Source organism: Homo sapiens, chromosome 15, assembly GCF_000001405.40.
Source record: "Homo sapiens chromosome 15, GRCh38.p14 Primary Assembly".
Taxonomy (NCBI): domain Eukaryota; kingdom Metazoa; phylum Chordata; class Mammalia; order Primates; family Hominidae; genus Homo; species Homo sapiens.
Window position 1 is genome coordinate 29,343,905 of NC_000015.10, and position 22,148 is coordinate 29,366,052.

Below are 22,148 nucleotides of genomic sequence, written 5' to 3' on the forward strand. Positions count from 1 at the left end.
GATACAAAAAAAGAGAATTATCCAGGTTTATCCAAAAGATGAACTGCTCAGGAAGAAGACAATTTTTAAAAGCACTGAGATGCAATTCTTTTAAACATGAACCTATATACCATATTTAAATCCATATAATATTCTACAAATCTGGTGTATCCTCCAAGCATTTGATACAAGGTTTAACTCTCACCAACTCTTCCACTCCTGACCCCACCAGGTGGGCAAACATAACTTGTGGCAATCTGCAAAGAGGCCAGGCCACGACCTGGGCTGGAGTGGCCAGCCTGTGGCTGGGGAGACTTTCCAGGGAACAGGTGCCACCTCCCCAAAACGCTTCACGCTGCGTGCAAGGATTCAGAGATGTCCAGGGTAAACCAACACTTTTTAAGCCAAATCTAAATGTTTAATAAAAACTAAGAATGATGCATAACAAGAGCTTCATCCTGGAAGTACACACCATTTTACAGGAAACTCAAACCCTAAACATATGTAATCTTGTTTGTAGCAGGGAACTTCCTCCCTGCTAGATTGAAGAAAAGTATTACCATCTGGGACACATTCCTCTCACCCTCAGAAGAAGGGGCTTTATAGAAGGGTCTTTACTTTTATTAGCAGCACCCTGCTATGCACCTGCTGATGTTCATAACACATGGGGCTTTCTGGGCCACTCCAGTGACTGCTGAGCTGGCACCTGATGACATTTCTTCAAGTAAGTTGCCTTAGTTGACCCAGCTACTGCTCCACACCAGAGGTGGAGTGGGGAGGAGTGTCCTCTGGTGGAAGGTCAGTGCCACAGAGAAACACTGGGCACTCAGACTGCATTCGGTCCTGGGACAGACAGCGTGTCCCCAAGCATCCACAGTGCAGCGTCCACAGAGAGGCCTGACTCCCAGGGGCTGACAGAGGCAGAGGACAGAGCTATTTATTGAAATGAGGAGTGCCCTGCTAAAAGAAACTGCATGCATAGCATTATAGAGCCAGGTAAACTCATGGTGAGGAGTCTGTGTTTTGGATTAAACACGCACGCGCGCAGACACACACACACACACACACACACACACACACACACACACGTCTGTGTTTAATCCCAGCTCTATTACATAACTTTCTGGAGGTTGTTTCCCTTTGCCAAGGCTGCCTTTCCCTACATTAAGTGGGAACAATATAATCCCACCATAAAGAACTGTCATGAAATCCGAACGCAATGATGACCACTAAGGCTACAAGTGCCCGTACCGTAGGTAGTAAGTGCTTACTAAATGCTGGCTCCTCCTCCGTAACTGATGGGAATATTAGGAGACATATAGGTCTTTGGATAGTTCTTGAAAGCTGTCTCTAGAGGCTGTATTTGGAAACATATCACATGGATCATCTCTTGAATGAAGTTCCTCGTGACCCTTAGGCCTTTCAGGAGTAATGCCAGGGTCCTTCCTGTGAGCAGCTCAGCCGAGTGGGGCTAGCGGGGAGCAGAGATGGGGCTGGGACAGAGCACAAGCACAGCCCTGGGGTGGGGTAGACAGGGATGCTGGGCAAGCACACCCCACCTCCGCTCCCCGCCAAGGCTGTCTGCTTTCTGCACCAAGGCCCCTTCTACCCCTGCAAGCCCACCTGGCCCCCTGCACACAGGAGAGTTGATGCCCCCAGAGGAAACAATTAGGGGGAATGGGAACAAGGCCCCGCATGCCCTCTTCAGGGGGACAGTTCTGGGACATTCTGTACGGCTCCAGGCACCCCCCAGGCTCACAGTGGCAGCCCTGATAACACCCCCCAGGGATTCCTTCTCCTGCCCCACATCCCCCCCAGCTCCTCACACCTGCTTCCTTGTCCTGGGCTCTGCTTCTGGGCTAAAAACAACCCCAGCGGGGAGAGCTGTTAGGAATGCAAAGAGGAGACCAAGGACTTGAGGCCCCTCCTATCACCTCATTTACATCCCCAGGAGTGCAGGCCACACTGCCCATCAAAAGCACGTCCCCGTGAGGCAAGATGATGATGATCGCAGCGGACATTTATTACCTGCCAGACACCAACCTAAGCACCTTATTATTAACTATTTTAATTCTCACACCAATTCCACAAATTACTATGAGTTTGTTTTCCAAAAGAGGAAACTGGGGCACAGAGAAGCTAACTTTCTGAGGCTGCCCAGCTGGTGAGCAGCAGAGCCAAGCATCCCGCTCGGCGAACGAGCTCCAGAGCCCATGCACTCAAAGGCAGAAGCTGCGCTGCACAACGACGCCAAGAAGAGAACCTGGAGGGTCCAGGCTGGCAGAAATCAGGGAGGGCAAGGGCAAGGAGGAAGCCAAAAGCTAAGAACAAAGTCAGACAAACGCCGAGGCAGAAGCCAGGGAAGCAGAGCATGTCACCAATTACTGGGGACATGCTCTGAGAGAGAGGGTTTGAGAACTGCCACTCACCGGCCGGGGACTGCTTGTTCTAAAGGTGCCTCAGGCTGAAATCCAGCTGGGCCTGTGCTCCAAGCCAGGAGTCCTGGCACAAAAACACGGATCTTTGCTCTTTCTGTCCGCAGGGCCTGGGATCTCAGCCCCACCCCAAGACAGTAGAAGAGAAGGGACCCAGGCAGGGGCTGTGGTCAGTGTAGAGCCTCTGGTTTACTAGGGAAGTCAAGCCTGCTGGTTCCCATTTTCTCCATAAATTACTCCCATTAAAGTCAAATATCCACATTAACTAAATTTTTGATATTTCACAGAATGGTTCCACAAAAAGAGTACTTTCATTTAGCTTTAAACAGCCCTTTCTGCTGACATCCAAATTCGTATTTCACTTCCCTCTCATCTTTAATTAAAGCTTATTATCCTCTGTGTAAACCAAGAAGATTTATGACATTATTTAGTGAGTTTTCTTTTTTTAAATTATAAATAACAGTAAACTTCAGAAAATGCTCCAATTTCACAGTTATTTGTTTTCAAGATTTTTGGCCACACACTAAAGCTAAAGCTAACCTCCAAAAGGCGCAAGTCACATCTTAAATGAAAGCTCTGATCAAATCTAGTCCTCCCCAGCTTCTCTGGGCATAAATTGGAATTTTAAGCCATAGGCCAAGAGTTAAAACTATAGCTTCTGATTTGCTTCCAATGCGATCTGTAACTAGTTATTCATGGTCCAAAGAAAAGTTTGGATTCATGTCAGAACCGCCTCATACACACAGCCATCTGAAAAGTCCCAGAGAAGCCCTGTTTAAATGCAATCCAAACTGATCCTGCCATGTTTCTTCTAAAAGAAGGAACCATTTCCTGTCTCGTGTATGGTTTCTTTTCCTTTCTTTCTTTCTTTTTTGAGACAAGATCTTGCTTTGTCACCCAGGCTAGAGTGCAGCTTCACCATTATAGCTCACTGTCTTGACTCATGCAGTCCTTCTGCCTCAGCCTCCTGAATAGCTGGGACTATAGGCCCATGCCATTGTGCCTGGCTAATTTTATTTTATTTTATTTTTTATAGAGACAAGGTCTCGCTGTGTTGCCCAGGCTGGTCTCCAACTCCTGGCCTCGAGCAATCCTCCCACCGCAGACTCCCAAAAAGCTTGGAATTACAGGTGTCAGCCACCACGCTGAGCCTATGGCATCTTAATTTTTAAATTTTTCATCTCTTTTCACTATTTTTTCTACAGGAGATCATTATTTCATTTAATATAGATACCCATAGTCACAAAGAGACTTAGGACTTCAGAATCAGAAAACAAATCAAAAAAATACAATGTCCTACTACAAGAAAATAGTTTTTACCTTAAAAACCATGGAGAAAGGAAAGTGCTAGGAAACGATGGACCAAAGTGATTGTGATTGAAAAGAAGATAAGGGGCAACTGGAACAAAGCATTCACATGAAGTCCGTCAGCACCTAGAAGGGCTCATCAGGAGTCTACGCAGGCTCGCCAACACAGCAGCAACTGCAACACTCACTGCTCTTTTACTGACAGGATCAAGGCATGTAGACACGGTATCTGCGAGGCAGAGGTCAATTCAGATTTTTAATTTCTCTCCTGCAGCCCAGAGCCTTGTATTGGGAGACCAAACTTCCATTCACTGTCATGGCATTCTGGAGGGCACAGAGAGTCAGGTGTAACAAATATAGAGGGGCACCATCTGGGATGGGTGGGGAGTATTGTCAGATTCTGCGTCAGGGTGCAAGGGGTGGGCGAGCTTACCAGAGTGAGGGGAAATCTATAAGGAATACATGTCCAACCTTGCACTAGAGTTTGAAAAAACATCAACTTTTAAGTGCTGAATCCTGAATGCATTTATTGAGTCCAAAAATATCTGTGTATGTCTTCAATGTGTCAGGCACTGTTCTCAGTTTGGGCATGCGGCAGTGAATAAAACTGTCAAGTAAATTTCACACAGTGAGAGGGCAAGAGGCTTGATACATCATATAGGGTATTAGAAGGTGGTAAGTGGGGGAAATGGAAACAGGGGGAGGTCTAGGACAGGGAGCAGCAATGTTGAACGGGTCTGGCCTCACTGAAATGTCAACAGAACGAGAAGAGGGCCGCAGGGCTGCAGCTACGTGAGGAACAATGTTCCCGACTCAGGGAGCAGTGTGGAGGCGTGTGGCTGGAGCTGAGCTGGAGAGGAGAATCCAGGAAGACCGGCTCGGGAGTGGGAGGGGTGGTTGCAGATGGAGGAGTTGGCTTTTAGCCTGAGAGAATGTGGAGTCTTCGGAGCATTTCCATTACAGGAGTGACAGGATTTGGAATGAGCTTTGAAAGGTTCGCAAAAGTAGCTCTGAAGAAGTGGGGTTATGTGGCTTCTGCAATGTGACCCGCGATTTGGCACAACCTTGAGAACTCCAGCCCCAGTAGGAAAATGGCCAAAGGCCATAAAGAAGTCACACAAGAATTCACAGAAGAATATTTTCAGCCCCATGGTGTCATATGAGTAAAACCACACAGTTCCATTTCAGCACCAGGTGGGAACCTGTCTCCTATAAGTTAAGCGGTATAAATGAAAATTTAATCATGATTTTCCCTTTCATAGAATTGTGGCCTAACTTCTGAATTCTGATAAAATAACTTAACATTGGCCAACAAGATCACTCAGCATCTGAGACCTAATTTGATAACCATAACTCAAATATCTCATCAACTGAAGTTGCAATTAACAAAAAGTCCAGTTGGCAGAGCAGGGCCTGGATGATGAACGATTCACAGCTGATCTGGGGCTGCCGCCTCTACGGCGGTGTCTTCTTTCCAGACCCCCCGAAAGTTCACAGACTGTCACACATGCACACAACTCCCGTGGCCCTGCAAAACCAGCTCCCATCAGGAAACATGTGGGCTCCTTCCTGCATGGTACAGTGAAAAGCAAAATCCTAACGTACTTACTCGCATTAAAAAAAATAAAATGAGAAGACTCAGTTTTATGTCTACACAACTGCAAAAACAAAACAAAAGTCAGAGATGTGAACTCCAGATTGTTAACATATCTGCTGAAACAAACAGAACAGTTTAATCAGGAATGTGTACAAGCTATATTGCATACAAATTGGCATCAATCATGAATAAATGAATTTTGGCTTTTTGCATCTCATGTATGGGACTTATTTACATGGCATACTGGCAAACTGGAATGTAAACTAACAATATAAATGATATTGCAATTTAGGAGCATCCCCAAGCTGCCAGAAATAGGAAGAAGGCAGTGTTTTGGTTTCCTACAGTATGGAAAACTTATAGTGATAACCCAACTAATTCATAGCAAGGGGGAGAAGACAGCACACTAACCTTTAATAAATTAATAGGATTGGGAGGCTAAGGCAGGTGGATTACCTGAGCTCAGGAGTTCGAGACCAGCCTGGGCAACACAGTGAAACCCCGTCTCCACTAAAATACAAAAAATTAGCCTGGCGTGGAGGCGCGTACCTGTAGTCCCAGCTACTTGGGAGGCTGAGGCAGGAGAATTGCTTGAACCCAGGAGGCAGAGGTTGCAGTGAGCTGAGATAGCACCACTCTGCACTCCAGCGTGGGTGACAGAGCGAGACTCTGTCTCAAAATAAATTAAATAAATAAAAATAATAATTAATTGATTAATTAATTAATTGGAGCTGTTTTCCCTTTTCTGCAGGTACTGAAAACCATCTTATGCCTGCCTATAGGCATCTCCATTTAAGGGCTTCCCACACCCTGAAATACAAACACTACCAACCAAGCTATAAATTATATTGCTTTCTACTCCTGTTTCTACTAGCTATTTCTTTAAAATTTGCTAAAATCTGCCTACAAAACTATCTAAACTTGGTGTCTATTAAGAAATAGGGGGATTTTTCAACTCTAATTTGAGTTCTTTAATAACTATTTCTGTTTGGGTTTTCTATTTCTTCTTAAGTTTGGCTATATTATTTATAAATTAAGCCATCTCATCTAAATCTTCAAATATATTGGCATAAGGTTGCTGATTATCATGTCTGAAATCTCTTGTTTATATTATTTTCCTTTCATATTTCTCCATTATTCATGTTTCTTCTCTTTTATTGTAATCAATAACAGGTGTATGTACTTATAACTCTTTTCAAAGAATTTTTGATTGCCTCTATTGCTTCTTGGATATCCATTTCGTTACTTTTCCTTTAATCTTACTTATTCTTTTTGTGAATGTATGCATTTACTTTGATTAAGAATTTCAAACAGAAATTTAAGTTTATCTCTGGTGTTTGTGAAATGTGAAAAGTAACTGAAAACTGCAAAAACAAACAAAAACTCCTAAAGCTCCCACCAAAAGTTTTGCAATAATTATTAATATTTCATAAGAGAGGGTGGGTATGGTGGCTCACGCCTGTAATCTCAGCACTTTGGGAGGCCGAGTTGGGTGGATTACCTGAGGTCAGGAGTTTGAGACCAGCCTAGCCAACATGGTGAAACCCTGTCTATACTAAAAATACAAAAATTAGCTGGGCATGGTGGCGTGCGCCTGTAATGCCAGCTACTTGGGAGGCTGAGGCAGGGCAATCGCTTGACCCAGGAGGCAGAGGCTGCAGTGAGCCAAGATCACGCCACTGCACTCCAGCCTGAGCAAGAGTGAGACTCCGTCTAAAATAAATAAATAAATATATATATAATACACATACATTTATACATTTCATAAGAGATAAGAGAACACATCAATGCAGTCACAAGTCACTTAATGACAAAGATACAATCTGAGAAATGTGTCATTCTGAGCAATGCAAATGGTAACTTCATCATTGTGCAAACCTCAGAGAGTGCACTCGCACTAACCTAGATGGCATAGCCTACTATACATGCCTAGGCTATATGGTGTAGCCTATTGCTCCTGGGCTACAAACCTGCACAGCATGTACTGTACTAAACACTGTAGGCAACTGTAATGCAATGGTAAGTATTTGTGTATCTAAGCATATCTAAACATAGACAAAGTGCATAAAATGTGATACAATACCACTGTCCTATATGTGGTCTGTCATCGATGGACCATTATAGACATCATTATGCAGCACAAAACTGTATTTTATTCATTCCACAGATGACATGGGAGTCTTCTTATTTTTGTAATCAATAATAACAGGTGTGTGATCAATAATAACAGGAGGAGTGATATGCTAATTAGGAACTAAGGATGTGCAAGATAAATGTTTATACTCCAAGAATGAAACAGAAACGAAAAATTAAAAGTAATAACAATAAGATGATTAACAATATCAATAGCAACTAACAGTAGTTTCTTGGTTACTTATCACATGCTAGGTAATGTTCTAACTATTTCATATGAAATTTATTTATTTTATTTTATTTTGAGACAGGGTCTCACTCTGTCATCCAGGCTGGAGTGCAGTCATTGCAATCATAGCTCACTGCAGCCTCAAACTCCTGGGCTCAAGCAATCCTCCCATCTCAGCCTCCCAAGTTGCTGGCACTACAGGCACATGCCACCACACACAGCTTTTTTATTTTTTTTTTGGTAGAGATGGGGTAGGGGGTTTCACTTTGTTGCCAACTCTTGGTCTCAAGCTATCCTCCTACCTCCACCTCCCAAAGCACTGGGATTACATGCACGAGCCACCACGTCCAACTAATTTTACTTTCTGTAGACAGGGTCTTGCTATGTTGCCCAGGCAACAATGTAGTGGCACAATCATAACTAACTATAACCTTGAACTCCTGGACTCAAGCGATCCTCCCACCTCAGCCTCCTGAGTAGCTGTGACTACAGGTGTGTGCAACCATACCGGGCTAATTTTTAAATTTTTTGTAGTGATGTGGTCTCACTATGTTGCTCGGGCTGGACTCTAACTCCTGGCTTCAAGCAATCCTCCTGCCTTGGCCTCCCAAAGCACTGGGATTACAGGTGTGAGCCACTGCACCTGGCTTCATAGGAAATTTAATCCTCAAAAGATCCCATATAGAATGATGGAGGTTAACACTGTTCTCCCCACTTTACAGATGAAATCCCCAGGAATGAAGGCGGTGAGAGCTAGCAAGTGGGTGGTGTATAAGGCAAATCATTATTAATAGCCACAAGCACATTACACAGAGTCTTAGTTTTAACTTCAATGGAAGTTTTATTGTTTTTGACAGTTGCCAAAGCAGATCAGATACTGTGATTAGGTACACGGTTTCTTCCTGCTTATGAAATTACATTCTGAAGCCCTTCGGTCTCATTCCCCGGCTGCCTCCACTCTTTCTTGTAACCGCTCGCCTGTCACCTGTCTGATGTGCATCACCAGCTCATTCATCACCTGGCAGATTTACTAACTCACTCATCATGCAGACACTGATGAGCCTGTCCTTCCGCATTCATCCCCACACCCTGGCTGCCGCTCACTCTGACATACCGCCGCCTGTCACTGTTTGCCAGCCAAACCGATACTTTTCTTAGGAGCTGCTATTAGCTCATTTGTCAGATTATTTTATTCCTTTTTGCTTATCAACTTCCCTTCAGACATCTTTTAGAATTTTTTCTTCTTGTTCTCCTCTGCCAACCACTTGGCTCATTTGCTTATCACCTGATATTATTCACCCCTCATCATTCGACAGCTTTTCAGATTCTATTAGTCAACATACATAATGTGAGTTCTATCTCTTGTTTCTATTAGGTTAAACCCATACAAATCTTGCTCTGTGCCAAGTGACTTAGAATTTGCATGGGGATGACACTTACATTAGAGCATATTCACTATGGCACATGAATATCAGTTATAAAACTCACATTCCCTTTCACAGGTCAGAAAATGTGGGATAGCAGCAGCCTTTTAAAAGGTAACACACAGCGGCATTTTTTTTTAATGTTTAAAAATATATAAATAATTTATTCTCCCCATTGCACAGAATGGCAATATGTTCTCTCCTAGGTGATTGAAAAGGTTTTTGTCTTTAGTCTCTTATGGACTGGTGCATTTGATGGGGATCCAGAAAAAAAGATGGGACTAAGTGCTGCACGCAAAAGAGAACTGGCCATGAAGAGGACCCACCCGCCAGACAAGAGCCCTGTGTGTCTGCCTGGGAAGGAGAGGAGCTCATTCCTGAAGGTCCCACCTGGACGGGCTGTTTGCTTATGAATGTATGCACTTAGGTAGGTAGGTAGGTAGGTAAATGTGTCTATGCATGTATACACATAAGCGTATGAATCTATGTCTATGGGTGTGTGTATGTTGCATGGAAGTACACATGTATGCAGCAGGCTAACACTGACTGCATTTACTGTGTGCAAGTCTCTGCAATATGCTCCCAAGACACAGTAGCTCATTTAGTCATTACAACAACCTTTGCAATAGAAATACCAATGGCCACCCATATTCACTGGTTCTCATTTGCCTGGCTGTGTTCTAAGCCTTGCCACCACCTGGGAGGTAGGTTCTATCATTTTCCCCCATGAAATAAATGAATGAACTGAGCCTCACGGGGATAGAGTTACTCACCCAATGGAGGAGCTCTTATGATCCCCATGTTACCAGTGGGGAGACTGAGGCACAGAGAAGTTCAGAAAGTCACTTGAGGCCATACAGTAAGAAATAGAGTCTGTACCCTTAAGCACATCACACTACTTCCCAGTAGAGAAAGATCACCTTCTGTGATGCTTAATTTTACGAGCCAACTTGACAGGGCTAAGAGGTACCCAGAGAGCTGGTTGAGCATCATTTCTGGGTATGTGTGTCAGGGTGTCTCCAGAAGAGGCTAGGATTTGAATCTGTAGACTGGAGTAGAGAAGATCACCCTCACCAATGTGGGTGCACCTCATCCAGTCCACTGAGGGCCCACATAGAACAAAAAGGCAGAGGAAGGGCGCCGTCTCTCTCCCCTTGAGCTGGAACATCCATCTTCTGTCCTTGGCCATCAGAGCTTCTGCTTCTCCCACCTTCAGACTCCAGGACTTAACACCAGCAGCTCCACCCCTCCTCCTGTTCTCAGGCCTTCGGGCTCTGGCTGAAGCACACCACCAGCCTTCCAGGGTCTCCAGCCTGGAGATGGCAGATTGTGGGACTTCTTGGCCTTCACAAGTGCATGAACCTATTCCCATGATCAATGTCCTGTATACCCCATTGGTTCTGTTTCTCTGGAGAGTCCTCCTAATACACTTTCCTTTTAAGAATGTATAAAAAGACATACATATGTGTACACACATTCACAGCTCAATTAAGACCCTTCTATCATGAGAGAATGGAGACACGTTCTAAGACACTAGGGGATCGGGGGTGGGAGAGGGCCTGGCTCCAAAATAGATATTTTGATGAAACCAGAGTAAATTCTTAGAAATTTTCTGAGTCTCACGGTGATAAACAGACACTGTCTCTATGAAACACGCACAAGTTTCAATGATAGAAAAGGAAGAGATGAGAATAGCTAGCGACCAGAAGGAAACACACCAAGAGAAAAGGAGACTGCCCCAAAACAGAAAGAGAGACTGGACCAGTTAAAACTCTGCACTGGAAATAGTTAAGACCAGGCCAGATACTGCAAAAAAAGAAAAAACTGGTAAAAATATTTTCTGTAGAGCAGTATTTTACATTTCCCCTCATTTTGCTAGATTTTTCTGTTTGCCCTCCAGATCCACCATACACCTTTACTGCTGCCTGGAGGCTGATCTTGATGAGGCTTCCCTGTTTTCCACTGGGTTCAGACTTGGGCAGCACTGAGGGGAGACTGGAGTGGGCAAGGCATGGCAACTGGGGTATTTGTTTCCTCTCTGCTGGAAAGGACCAGTGCCTGCATTCTCTCACCAAAGGCCACCCCTGTCTCAGGGTGAATCCTACGAATTCAGGTCTCACTCCAGGCCCCAGAGCCACTCCCTCCCTGTGCTGTTAAGGTCCAGGAGCCAGGGCAGCTCTCAGCTATGGCTAGCCCTGACAGCCTCACCATTTCTGCCCCTACCTTTGTAAATAGTCACCCCATTAAACTCCCCATTACCCAATTTAAATATGTCATCTGCTTCCTGCTGGGATACTGAGTATGAAGTGCTCCAGGCATCCCCCAGGACAGAGCCCCTGTATCATGATCTGTTTTATAAACCGTGGTTCTGGACAGTAATTTGAGTTTTTAAAGGTCCCATTGGCTTTTTTTTTTTTAAGCTTAAAAACCAAAGATGAAGTTTAAATTTGAGAAGCATTCATGAGAATGCCAAAAAAGGGACAGAGTGATACAAATAAAAAAAAAAAACCTCACACTTGGAGGATCAGAAGCTGAGATTTAAATGATTAATAATGCATGCTTCCAGAGAAGAGCCCAGAACAAATCATTCTGTTCTCATTATGTAGTGAAACTTACACTGGCTTCAGACCTTTCCTCAAATTGCTAATGCCAGAAAAACTGATTGCTCAAGAATTCTGAATCTAACCAAATTACTCTTACATTGAAAGTAACAGATGGCTACTTTCATTTATACACTGTGGGAAATATATATCACCCATGTCCCCATGGTGAAGAGATGAATGAAAATTCAGAACGTAAGAGAGCTGAAGTCAGATAGTAAGCAAATGATGGAGAGTGGAATGGCTGAGCTAAATAAGGGGTCCCACGAAGAGGAGGCTTTATAACCTGAGTTCCCTATGTAAAATTAAAATGTGAAGGGGGTTTTAGATGCACAGAATAAAAAATGCTAATTTACTCATTTTTCCATAAGGAAAAGATGTTAAAATTGACTTTTTTTGGGAGTATCACTTACCTACGAGGCAATGTTCTCTGTTCCAATAGCGATGGTGGTCACCCAGGGACTTACATTTGCTGAAGCTCATTGAACTCTATTCTTAAAACAAGTGCATCTTGTTCTATGTGAGGATGTGAGGATGAGAAGATTTTTATCTTTGGTTTTGGTAATTTGATAAATGTAGGGTTGAGGATACTTTTGAAAAATCAACAAGATGGTCTAGAAGTGAAGAAGATATGAAATGTATATATATGTGTGTGTGTGTATATATATATATATATATATATATATATTTTTTTTTTTTTTTTTTTTTTTTTTTTGAGACGGAGTCTCGCTCTGTCGCCCAGGCTGGAGTGCAGTGGCGTGATCTCAGCTCACTGCAGGCTCTGCCTCCTGGGTTCACGCCATTCTCCCACCTCGCCTCCCGAGTAGCTGGGACCACAGGCGACCACTACCACACCCAGCTAATTTTTTATATTTTTAGTAGAGACGGGGTTTCACTGTGTTAGCCAGGATGGTCTTGATCTCCTGACCTCGTGATCCGCCCGCCTCGGCCTCCCAAAGTGCTGAGATTACAGGAGTGAGCCACCGCGCCTGGCCTGAAATGTATTTTTTAAAAACATATTGATATAGAAGTTAAAAATAAGGTACCAAGGATAAGTGCATGAGAAGATATGCAAGTCCTCTGCAGAAAAAATCTTAAAACTCCAATGAAATACTCTGGAAAAGACCAAAACAAATGGAGGGATATAGTATTCCATGGTCAAGGCCATTTAGGATCACACAGATGTTAATTCTCCCTAAAATGATACACAGATAAAACACAACTCCAATAAACATCCCAATAAGGGAGTCTTTCATAAAATCCAACAAGCTGATTCTCAAGTCTCCATGGTAGAGCAAAGGGCCAAGAAAAGCCCAGATGCCTTTGGAGGGAAGAGAAAGCTGGGGGCCCTTCCTCCTCACAGGTATCTTGTTGTACAGGAACTACCAAAGCAGACCAAAGGGGCAGAACTGAGTGCCTAGAAACAGACACACAGAGATACAGAAAGTGTATTTACAACAAAGTGGGCACTGCAGGTCATGGTAAAAAACAGATTCTAGTGCCACTACAATTGGTCACGCATAAAAGAAGAAAAGAGAATTCCTGTCTCACAGCATATACAAAATTTAATTCCAAGTAGATTAAAGGATTAAATGTGAAAAGCAACACTTCTGATTCTGTAGGGGAGAAAAAAAAAGAAGCAAATGTTTTTACAACTTCGAGGTAGGGAAGGATTTCTTAATAAAAGATAATCACATACATGCACAGAAAGTATCCCCAGTGAAGGAATTAATAAATTAATAAAGATAACCATAAGAAAAATGACATGGTAAGTCAAAGCCTCGGAGGGGGTATTTTCACATATTCCACCAAGAAATCAGCACCAGAAGATATAGTATAAATAACTTTTATAAATTAGTAAGAAAAAGAGAAATGACACAAATGGGTAAAACACACAAACTCACATATTACAGAAGAAGAAACACAACATAAAACTGGTTGATCTCAGCCAGGCGTGGTGGCTCACGCCTGTAATCCCAGCACTTTGGGAGGCCGAGGCGGGCAGATCACAAGGTCGGGAGATCGAGACCATCCTGCCTAACATGGTGAAACCTCGTCTCTACTAAAAAATACAAAAAAATTAGCCGGGCGTGGTGGCGGGCGCCTGTAGTCCCAGCTACTCGGGAGGCTGAGGCAGGAGAATGGCATGAACCCGGGAGGCGGAGCTTGCAGTGAGCCGAGATCGTGCCACTGCACTCCAGCCTGGGCGACAGAGCAAGAGAGCGAGACTCTGAAAAGAAAAGAAAAGAAAAAAAAAAAAAACTGGTTGATCTCATTAGGAACAAGGAGAGCACCAACTGGGACTGGAGATGCCGTGGCACACTCACCAGACTGGCAAACCTCTCAAGGCATGCCATGAAGAATGCGGAACACTTGGGGCACCTACATGAGTACAGTTGCTTTGGGAAAACCATGCGACATCATTTCATCAATCACACTGCCCATGACCCAGCAATTTCATGTCCAAGTGAGTGCCCTGGAGGAACCCATGCCTATGTACCTGAGGAGACGGGCATTTAAACATTCACAGCAACACAGGTCACAGGAACAAAATATTATATACATGGCCCATGCAGCCACTGAAGGAGAACAGACAAACATATTGTGATCTATTCACACCATGGAAGACTGCAACAACAATCAAAATAATTGATGTAGAGCTACACATGAACACGTATGAATCAACAAATATCATGGTGAATGAAAAAAAGCAAGTAATCAAAGAACATAAAGTGCAATTCCATTTACACAAAGTTCAAAAGCAAAAGTAAGCAGTACATTATTTAGGGATGTGTACATATGTGTAAAAGAATGATGAACCTTGAATCTCTGCTCTGAAGACAGGCAGGAGACCAGATGGGAAGGAGCCCACAGGAGGGTCCTGGAGTGGGCAGCTTACACTTCTGGTGCTGGTTGGTGGGGCCTTCAATTGCCTGCTTCATAGCAATACATGAATTTCATTGTACGTGTCATATATTTCATGTTTAATAATATTTTATTAATAAATATTTCCTAATTTAAAACAGAAAAGATGAAATACATTTTAAACATAACTGTCAGTAGAAAAAAAAGCTAGATTCCTACAGTCTAAATATTTACATAAAGTAAAGCACTCTCAACGTGGTATTTATCAGAAAAAAAAACCAGAATAAAAGACAGAAGTGCCGAAGAAACGTGTAAAAACAAGAAGATAAAAAGAGTGACTGAAACAATCCCTAAATAAGTAAAGAGATTTCATAATAACTCAATCCCTTATTTTAAACAATTTGATTTCTATAAGATATGTACCTGAAAGAAAATGTCAGAGAGAAATTAAAGAAAAACTGATGGGCAAAGATATCAGGCACATTCAAACTAAAGGAAAGCAAGCCCAGTGCTCTAATTTAAACAAAGCCAAATTCAAGACAATAAAACACTAAATTGAGACAAGACCACTTTATATTATTAAAAGATATAATCTACAGGGAATGAACAGTAATATCCCAACATCCAAACAGAGCAAAATGTGACAGAAAGAGCCGCAGTGAATATGAACATGAATATGGATCATGTAGGAAAAAGCTGTTATGGAAAAAAACTGCAAAAGCTAACAGTAGCTGTGGGCCAGGGCAGAACACGAAGGAGTGTTTTCTAAGCTGTTTCCCTGCATTTTCCAGGTTTTCTGTAATACACATCTATACTCACTTATCAGGAAAACCATAACTGTAAAGATCTGTGTTTTGGTGAGGATATCACACGTTTAAGAAAGGCAGACTCCTTTCTTCCTCCAAAAGTCACTGCTGAAAGTCATGATTTTTAAAACTTCTTTTTTTCTGAACCCCAAGACGGAGTCTTGCTCTGTCCCCCAGGCTGGAGCACAGTGGCATGATTTCAGCTCACTGCAAGCTCCGCCTCCCGGGTTCAAGCAATTCTCCTGCCTCAGCCTCCCAAGTAGCTGGGAATAGGGGCATGCACCACCACACCCAGCTAATTTTTGTATTTTTAGTAGAGGCGGGGTTTCACCCTGTTGGCCAGGATGGTCTTGATCTCCTGACCTCGTGATCTGCCCACCTCAGCCTCCCAAGGTGCTGGGATTACAGGCGTGAGCCACTGTGCTCAGCCAGTTTCAATCAATTATTCTATCTATTGTTGAACCACACAAACTAAAGAGCAAAACAAATTTGAAACCTTTGAGTCTTCCTTCCCTTACTAATCAGAATTTTTATATTTTGACAAGGAAACATAGATCTACAGCAATTTGATTAAATACACATGAAAATCAGGGTAAAATAAAATTGTTTCAACTTCATCCCACTATTTATTGTATATCATAAAATTATTCAGGAATCAAAGATAAGGTTCATGAATAATATTCTTCATTAAAAGAGGGTGGATGTTTGAAAGAAAATCTGGTAACTAATAGCCTATAAGGTAGAATTTTTTAAAACCTGGGTACGTAGAGAGAGTTCCTCAGAATTGCATATTAAATTCACTTTCAATTAGTATGGTTCAGCATTTTATTCTGATGATTTATTTGTATGCTTGGTAATACTTTTTAAATTAACTGTGCCACAGACAGACATATCACATACTTCACAGTTATAATAATTTTTTCTAACGCTATATCTTTATAACGGTAATTGCCTTCTTTCTGAAAGAATACGCATTTTGAATCTAGTGACACTTCATTTATTACTTTTCTTATATTAGAGCTACCTCAGCATATTAGATTTTTTCTTAATGACTTTTTTCTATTAGGAGACCATGAAGACCCCAGGGCAAAGGAAGTCCATTAGGAAAGGGGGGCATTTTAGAGGAGGCAGGAATTTCTAAGGTAGACATCAGACAATTCTTGTCAAGAACAGACTGAACACGAGATCCTCCATTTCCTGTGAACTATAGATTAATTTTGATATCTGTACAAACAAGATTATGAAATTTGCAATATTCATCATTAATACAGTGAATTAAATTCCTCACATAGCAAAACATACATCAAGTATGTCACTGCTCACTGCACCTCCCACTCTCAGTTGACACATCACCCTGCACAGCTCCTCCCTGGACAACTCCAGCTGACCAGAGTACCTGCTTATACCACGTGGAACAGGAGACCGAGGATCCTCTCACCCTGACAGCTGCCTTGCTCTCTCCTGGAACATAGCAGCAGGTGATTATTCAGTGTGGGGGCAAAAAGAGTCCCTATCACTCCTCTGGTCTGAGAGCCAGATGCTAGAGTATGTCCAGGAAGCACTTCCGAGAAGCTATTCCCTGGACAGGCTGAGCCGCCTTGGGGCAGTCACCCATCTCCTGAAGCCAGGAGTGCTGGAGCACAGGCTGAGAATGACTCTGAGGCTGGAGAGAAGACTCAACAACCTGTTGGTGGCTCCACCACGGCTGTCCCTTTCTCCCAAAACTTTCTACAGCTCGATTTACTCCTGGACCCCTGCACCTGGTGCTTTTCCTGCTTCCTGGATTTTGTCTTGGTTGTTCTGCTGGCCTGCAAGGAGTCTACTCTCTGATCTACCCGCCCAAACTCCACCCATCCAATAATATTTGGGCTGAATCCCATTCTCACTGTAAGATTCAGTCTGAATCAGTCTTCTCCTACTTCAACCTTAGTGGAAGCAGCATGACACAATGAAAAGAGCATGCCCTCTGAAATCAGACACACCTAGACTCCTCCATCCAAGCTTTAGCAATTACCCTTGTATTATGCTACCCAAGTACATAATCCCTTTGAAAAGGACATGCTCTTCAAATGCAGCTGTGAATACTTGTCTTGGGCCAATGTATAAAAAGCACCAGGTAGGCACCAGTTTCCTCTTATCTTTCTAAATAAAAATTATATACAAAATTCATTTCTCGATTTCTAACTTGCAGCAATTTCCTCCCATTATCTTATACAACTTTATGTATCTTTAACATTTTATTGATATTTTTATTTCCCCAACTCATATCATAACCTCACCTAGAACCTAAACCTAAATACCATATCTTAACCTTCTTAGTTTCCAAGTCATTGCACGGCTCAGGGCCCTGTGCAATGCATTTCATTACTGCGGCACAACAGGCTCTGAGCCTCATCTCATGGCAATTCTGACGACCACTCTGTGCTCACGGTGTGCTGATGGTGTCCTTTATGTATCCAGGACAGATAGAACAAGGAACTGCTGACCAGGCAGGTTACAGAATCAGCCCAGGGTTAGACACTTACAGGTCCAATGGGGAAGCACCCCAGGAAACATGTAACAAAGCCTCCATTAGCAGCAGCTGGACAAATTCTTCCCCTCTTCTGGAAACATCCTTAAGCTTTGCTGATGCCCACACCTGGGGATACTAAGTGGTTTATTGTAATCAAGAAATGTATCATGGTCTTGGGGTCCAGCTACATGCAACTCACTTCACAGCACATTAACCAACAGACACGGATCACAGGAAAATCACTCCAGCCATAAAGAAACACACAGACTCTGGGACTCCATCCAGAGGCACATCCCAGGGCTTCTGAGCTCCCAGAGACGGCCCCCACTCAGTGCTGTTCCACAGACCTTACCACCCACTCAGTCTCTACCTTCACAGGAAGAGAGTAACATTACCCAGACAGGGCTATGAGAATAACTCACTCTTTCTCAGAAGCTTCTCAGCCAGTCAGAAGCAGCAATCAGGGAAAAGTTGATTACAATTGTTTCCAGGTGAATTCAAGATGATGCATTTAATTATGATTTTTGAGCACATAATTACCTTATTGGGTATCTTTGTCTACCTTGTTTTTAATCTTTTTTTTTTTTTTTTTTTTTTTTTGAGACAGAGTCTTGCTCTGTCACCCAGGCTAGAATGCAGTGGCGCGATCTCGGCTCACTGCAACTTCCGCCTCCCGGGTTCAAGAGATTCTCCTGCCTCAGCCTCCAGAGTAGCTGGGACTAGAGGCACACGCCGCCACACCCAGCTAATTTTTTGTATTTTAGTAGAGAAAGGGTTTTACCATGTTACCCAGGCTAGTCTTGAACTCCTGAGCTCAGGCAATACGCCCGCCTCGGCCTCCCAAAGTGCTAGGATTACAGGCATGAGCCACCGCGTCCGGCCCCTTGTTTTTCATCTTTCTATTCTAGCTCGCTGTCACTTGCAAAAAGTTAAGTTTTTATATATTTTCAATAAAAAATGTGCCTGATGGATTAAAAGAGTTTATACTTCCAAGTGAAGTGACTTAAGCAAATAAAAATAATTGTCATGTTTCAATAAAAATTAGTATTTTATCAACAACTATTTTTAATTTCACTTGGTCTTGAGTGGTTTCCTTATGTTATACTTTAGTCTGTTTCAGTCTCGTTTTTCTGGTTAGACTATCTTTCCCTGCTGATATTTAATACTGTTAGTAAATTTAAAAGAAGCGTATTAGTCCATTTTCATAAACGAGGTGGGAGGTTGGGATACTTAAGCTGCTTTATGAGCACAGCAAAATTCTGCATTGTTTTAAGGATCTGTACAAATATGTTTTCACCCTACTTCCTTCTTTTCTTCTGCACTTAATAAATGAAAGCTTCATCTTTAATGTGACCAAGCAAAATACATTCTCTTAAAAAAAAAGGTCACGACCTTGACTGTAAGAAATCCCCAAAGTGGATTTATAATGAATTTTCCGAATAAATAATGACTCCAAATACATTTACATTAAAAATATTAACCTTTAACTCACCTATATTTTTAATAGCATATAAAGTGATATTTGAGCTCAATTCATGGCTTCGAAAGAAAGCCTTGCAGGCTTTCTATAACTCATATTAAAGGTTAAGATGATTCATAAATTTTTTTCCACAGAATATGGCAAACAGATGACTTTGTAGTGTGACTGGGACTGAATTTCTGATGGGCACAGCAGGAAACATTTCTGTAAGTGCAAAAATTCAAAGACACTTTTGAAAAGAAGTTAATATATGCAGCGTAAGATTTTAAGCTTTCTTACATTGAAAAATGATCAGCATAGCAATGAAGAGAGAGAAATAAAAAAACCACTAATCCAGGCTGAAGTTCATTCATCACACACTTCCAATTCCTTGATATCTGCATGTTACATTAAATACTGCAGTGGAGAAAAACAAAAATAAGAGAATCCAACTAGAATGGAAAGACAATCAAAGCTATTTTTCTTCAACAGTTGTCTATAAGTTTCCAATAAAATTGGGGCTATGACAAGAATCGAGCATTTATACTTATGCATAAAGTAAGGGCTGGTTTCTCTAATAGGGCTAATTATCGGACACCTATTACCACCACTCCGGGGACAGCATCAATGAATCAAACTCCACAGGACTAGAAATATTCTGACTAGTGTCCAGGATAACAGGAGAGCTACCAGGGCTTTTGGTGCCACACACCTGGGTTTATTAGGGCCAGAATTGCTCTCCATAACCTAAGAACCACCCAAACATCCGCAGGATAAATGCAAAACCCTGGGAACCCTCTTTTTTTTGAGAGAAGAAATATGGAAGGAAAAAAACTTTCCTCTATTTTGTAGCTTCTAATTAAAAGGAATCCATGAAAGAATTAATTGCACCTAAACGTATTTTACTACGTCTTACGTTGTACTGCAGTAAGTCTTAAGATGAGCTGCAGAGGGGAATGGATTATGCCTTACTAAGGCATGGAAAGAGGTTTTTTTGGTTATATTTTAAGGTCTCAGGTAAGGCACTGATTAAGAGCCAGTTGGCCTGGGCTGGAAACCTGCCCACCACTTGCCTGCCACACACCTGCCCTGTGCCTCAGCTTCTCTTTTGGCTAGGATGATAACAGAGTTGTCTCACTGGGGTGTCATAAGAAGTAAGTGCAGCAGGCATCTATCTGAACAGGGCCCAGCATATAGCAGTTTCCCACCACGCTTGTTATTGTGGAAGGTACACAGAAATGGTCGGATTTCTCTGCTGTGACGTCCTTCCATTCAGCTCTCTTGCGGTAAAACGCTTCAGTCTAAGTGCCTTCCTTCACCCAGCTGAAAGGCAGAACACTTACTCCCGTTTTGGATAACAGTGCAAGCTGTGAGTCATAACTGGTGTGGGAGACAGAGATAGATCATGCCTTTCCCTATTGTTAGTCATTTCAAATAAACTGAATGTATCCTGGTTTGGGGGTGATGCCTTTAAAAATTTTTTTTAATTTAAAATTTTTTTAGTTGACTTTATTTTTAGAACAGTTTTAGGTTCACAGCAAAAGTTAGCAAAAGGTACAGAGAGTCCCATACACTCCCTCCCTCCCCAGAGGCACAGCCTCCGCCACTACCACCAGCCGCCAGCAGAGTGGTGCATTTGTTAACAACTGGTGAACCTACATTGCCACACCATTATCACTCAGAGTCCATGGTTTACATTAGGGTCCACTCTTGGTGTTGTACATTCTATGGGTTTGGAGAAATGCATAATGACCTGTATCCACCATTATATTATACAGAATAGTTTCACTGCCCTGAAAATCCTCTGTGTTCCACCTCTTCATCCCTCTTTCCCAACCTGTGACAACCACTTATCTTATTACTGCCTCCACAGTTTTGCCTTTTCCAGAATGTCATATGGTTGGAACTATACAGTCTATAGCCTTTTCAGATTGACTTCTTTCACACTGTATTATGCAAAGTTTCTTCCATGTCTTTTCATGGCTAAATAGCTCATTTCTTTTTTTTTTTTTTCTTTTTGGGACAGAGTCTTGCTCTGTTGCCCAGGCTGGAGTGCAGTTGTGTGAAATCGGCTCACTGCAACCTCCACCTCCTGATTTCAAGAGATCCTTCCATCTCAGCCTCCCAAATAGCTGGGATTACAGGTGCCCGCCACCATGCCCAGCTAATTTTTGTATTTTTAGTAGAGATGGGATTTCACCACATTGGCCAGGCTAGTCTCAAACTCCTGACCTCAAGTGATCCACCTGCCTCGGCTCCCAAAGTGCTGGGATTACAAGCTCATTTCTTTTTAGCACTGACTAATATTCTATTGTCTAATGTACCACAGTTACATATCCATTCACCTAGTAAAGAACAAGGTTGCGCTTTTTTTACCCCACTGCTCTGGGAATATAGTTTCCAAAAATTATAAAAAAAAATACAGAGCCGCTTTTAGTATTTCTGAAGGCTGCTCTGATTTGTCTTTGTCCTTTAAAAGTCTGCAGAAAAAAAAAACAAAACTGAATCTAATAAAGGTGCTTCTGACATTTCTGCAACCTAAACACGCTTTACTTGGTATCTTCCGTACCCTCACACCAGAAGACGACACCTTTGTTGGTTCTGTTTGTTAAAGACTCAGAAGCCAGGGCCCCAGCACCACCCAGCAACCCCCCGAATCAAGGTGCAGCAGAACCCAGCATTCACGCTGAAACACGTGTCCTGTGCTCTGATGTAGACCCAAATCTAACAGCCATTGACATGGACTGTTAGATGACTTCCGTTATCACCTACTGGGATAAAACCTATTTTGTTTTGGCTAA

General features: G+C 42.5%; 1 protein-coding gene across 7 annotated transcripts in view, besides 1 other annotated feature; it reads right to left on the reverse strand.

Annotated features, from left to right (window-relative positions):
* Positions 1–22,148, reverse strand: part of ENTREP2 (endosomal transmembrane epsin interactor 2) — a 557,698-nt gene that overhangs the window by 226,193 nt on the left and 309,357 nt on the right. The window lies entirely within an intron of this gene.
* Positions 954–1,936: an enhancer, noted in NCBI's record as "H3K27ac-H3K4me1 hESC enhancer chr15:29637062-29638044 (GRCh37/hg19 assembly coordinates)". NCBI's record gives its function as "activates a minimal SCP1, AML or CMV promoter by ChIP-STARR-seq in primed H9 embryonic stem cells {active_cell/tissue: H9 hESC(primed)}" and the evidence as "EXISTENCE:reporter gene assay evidence [ECO:0000049][PMID:30033119]".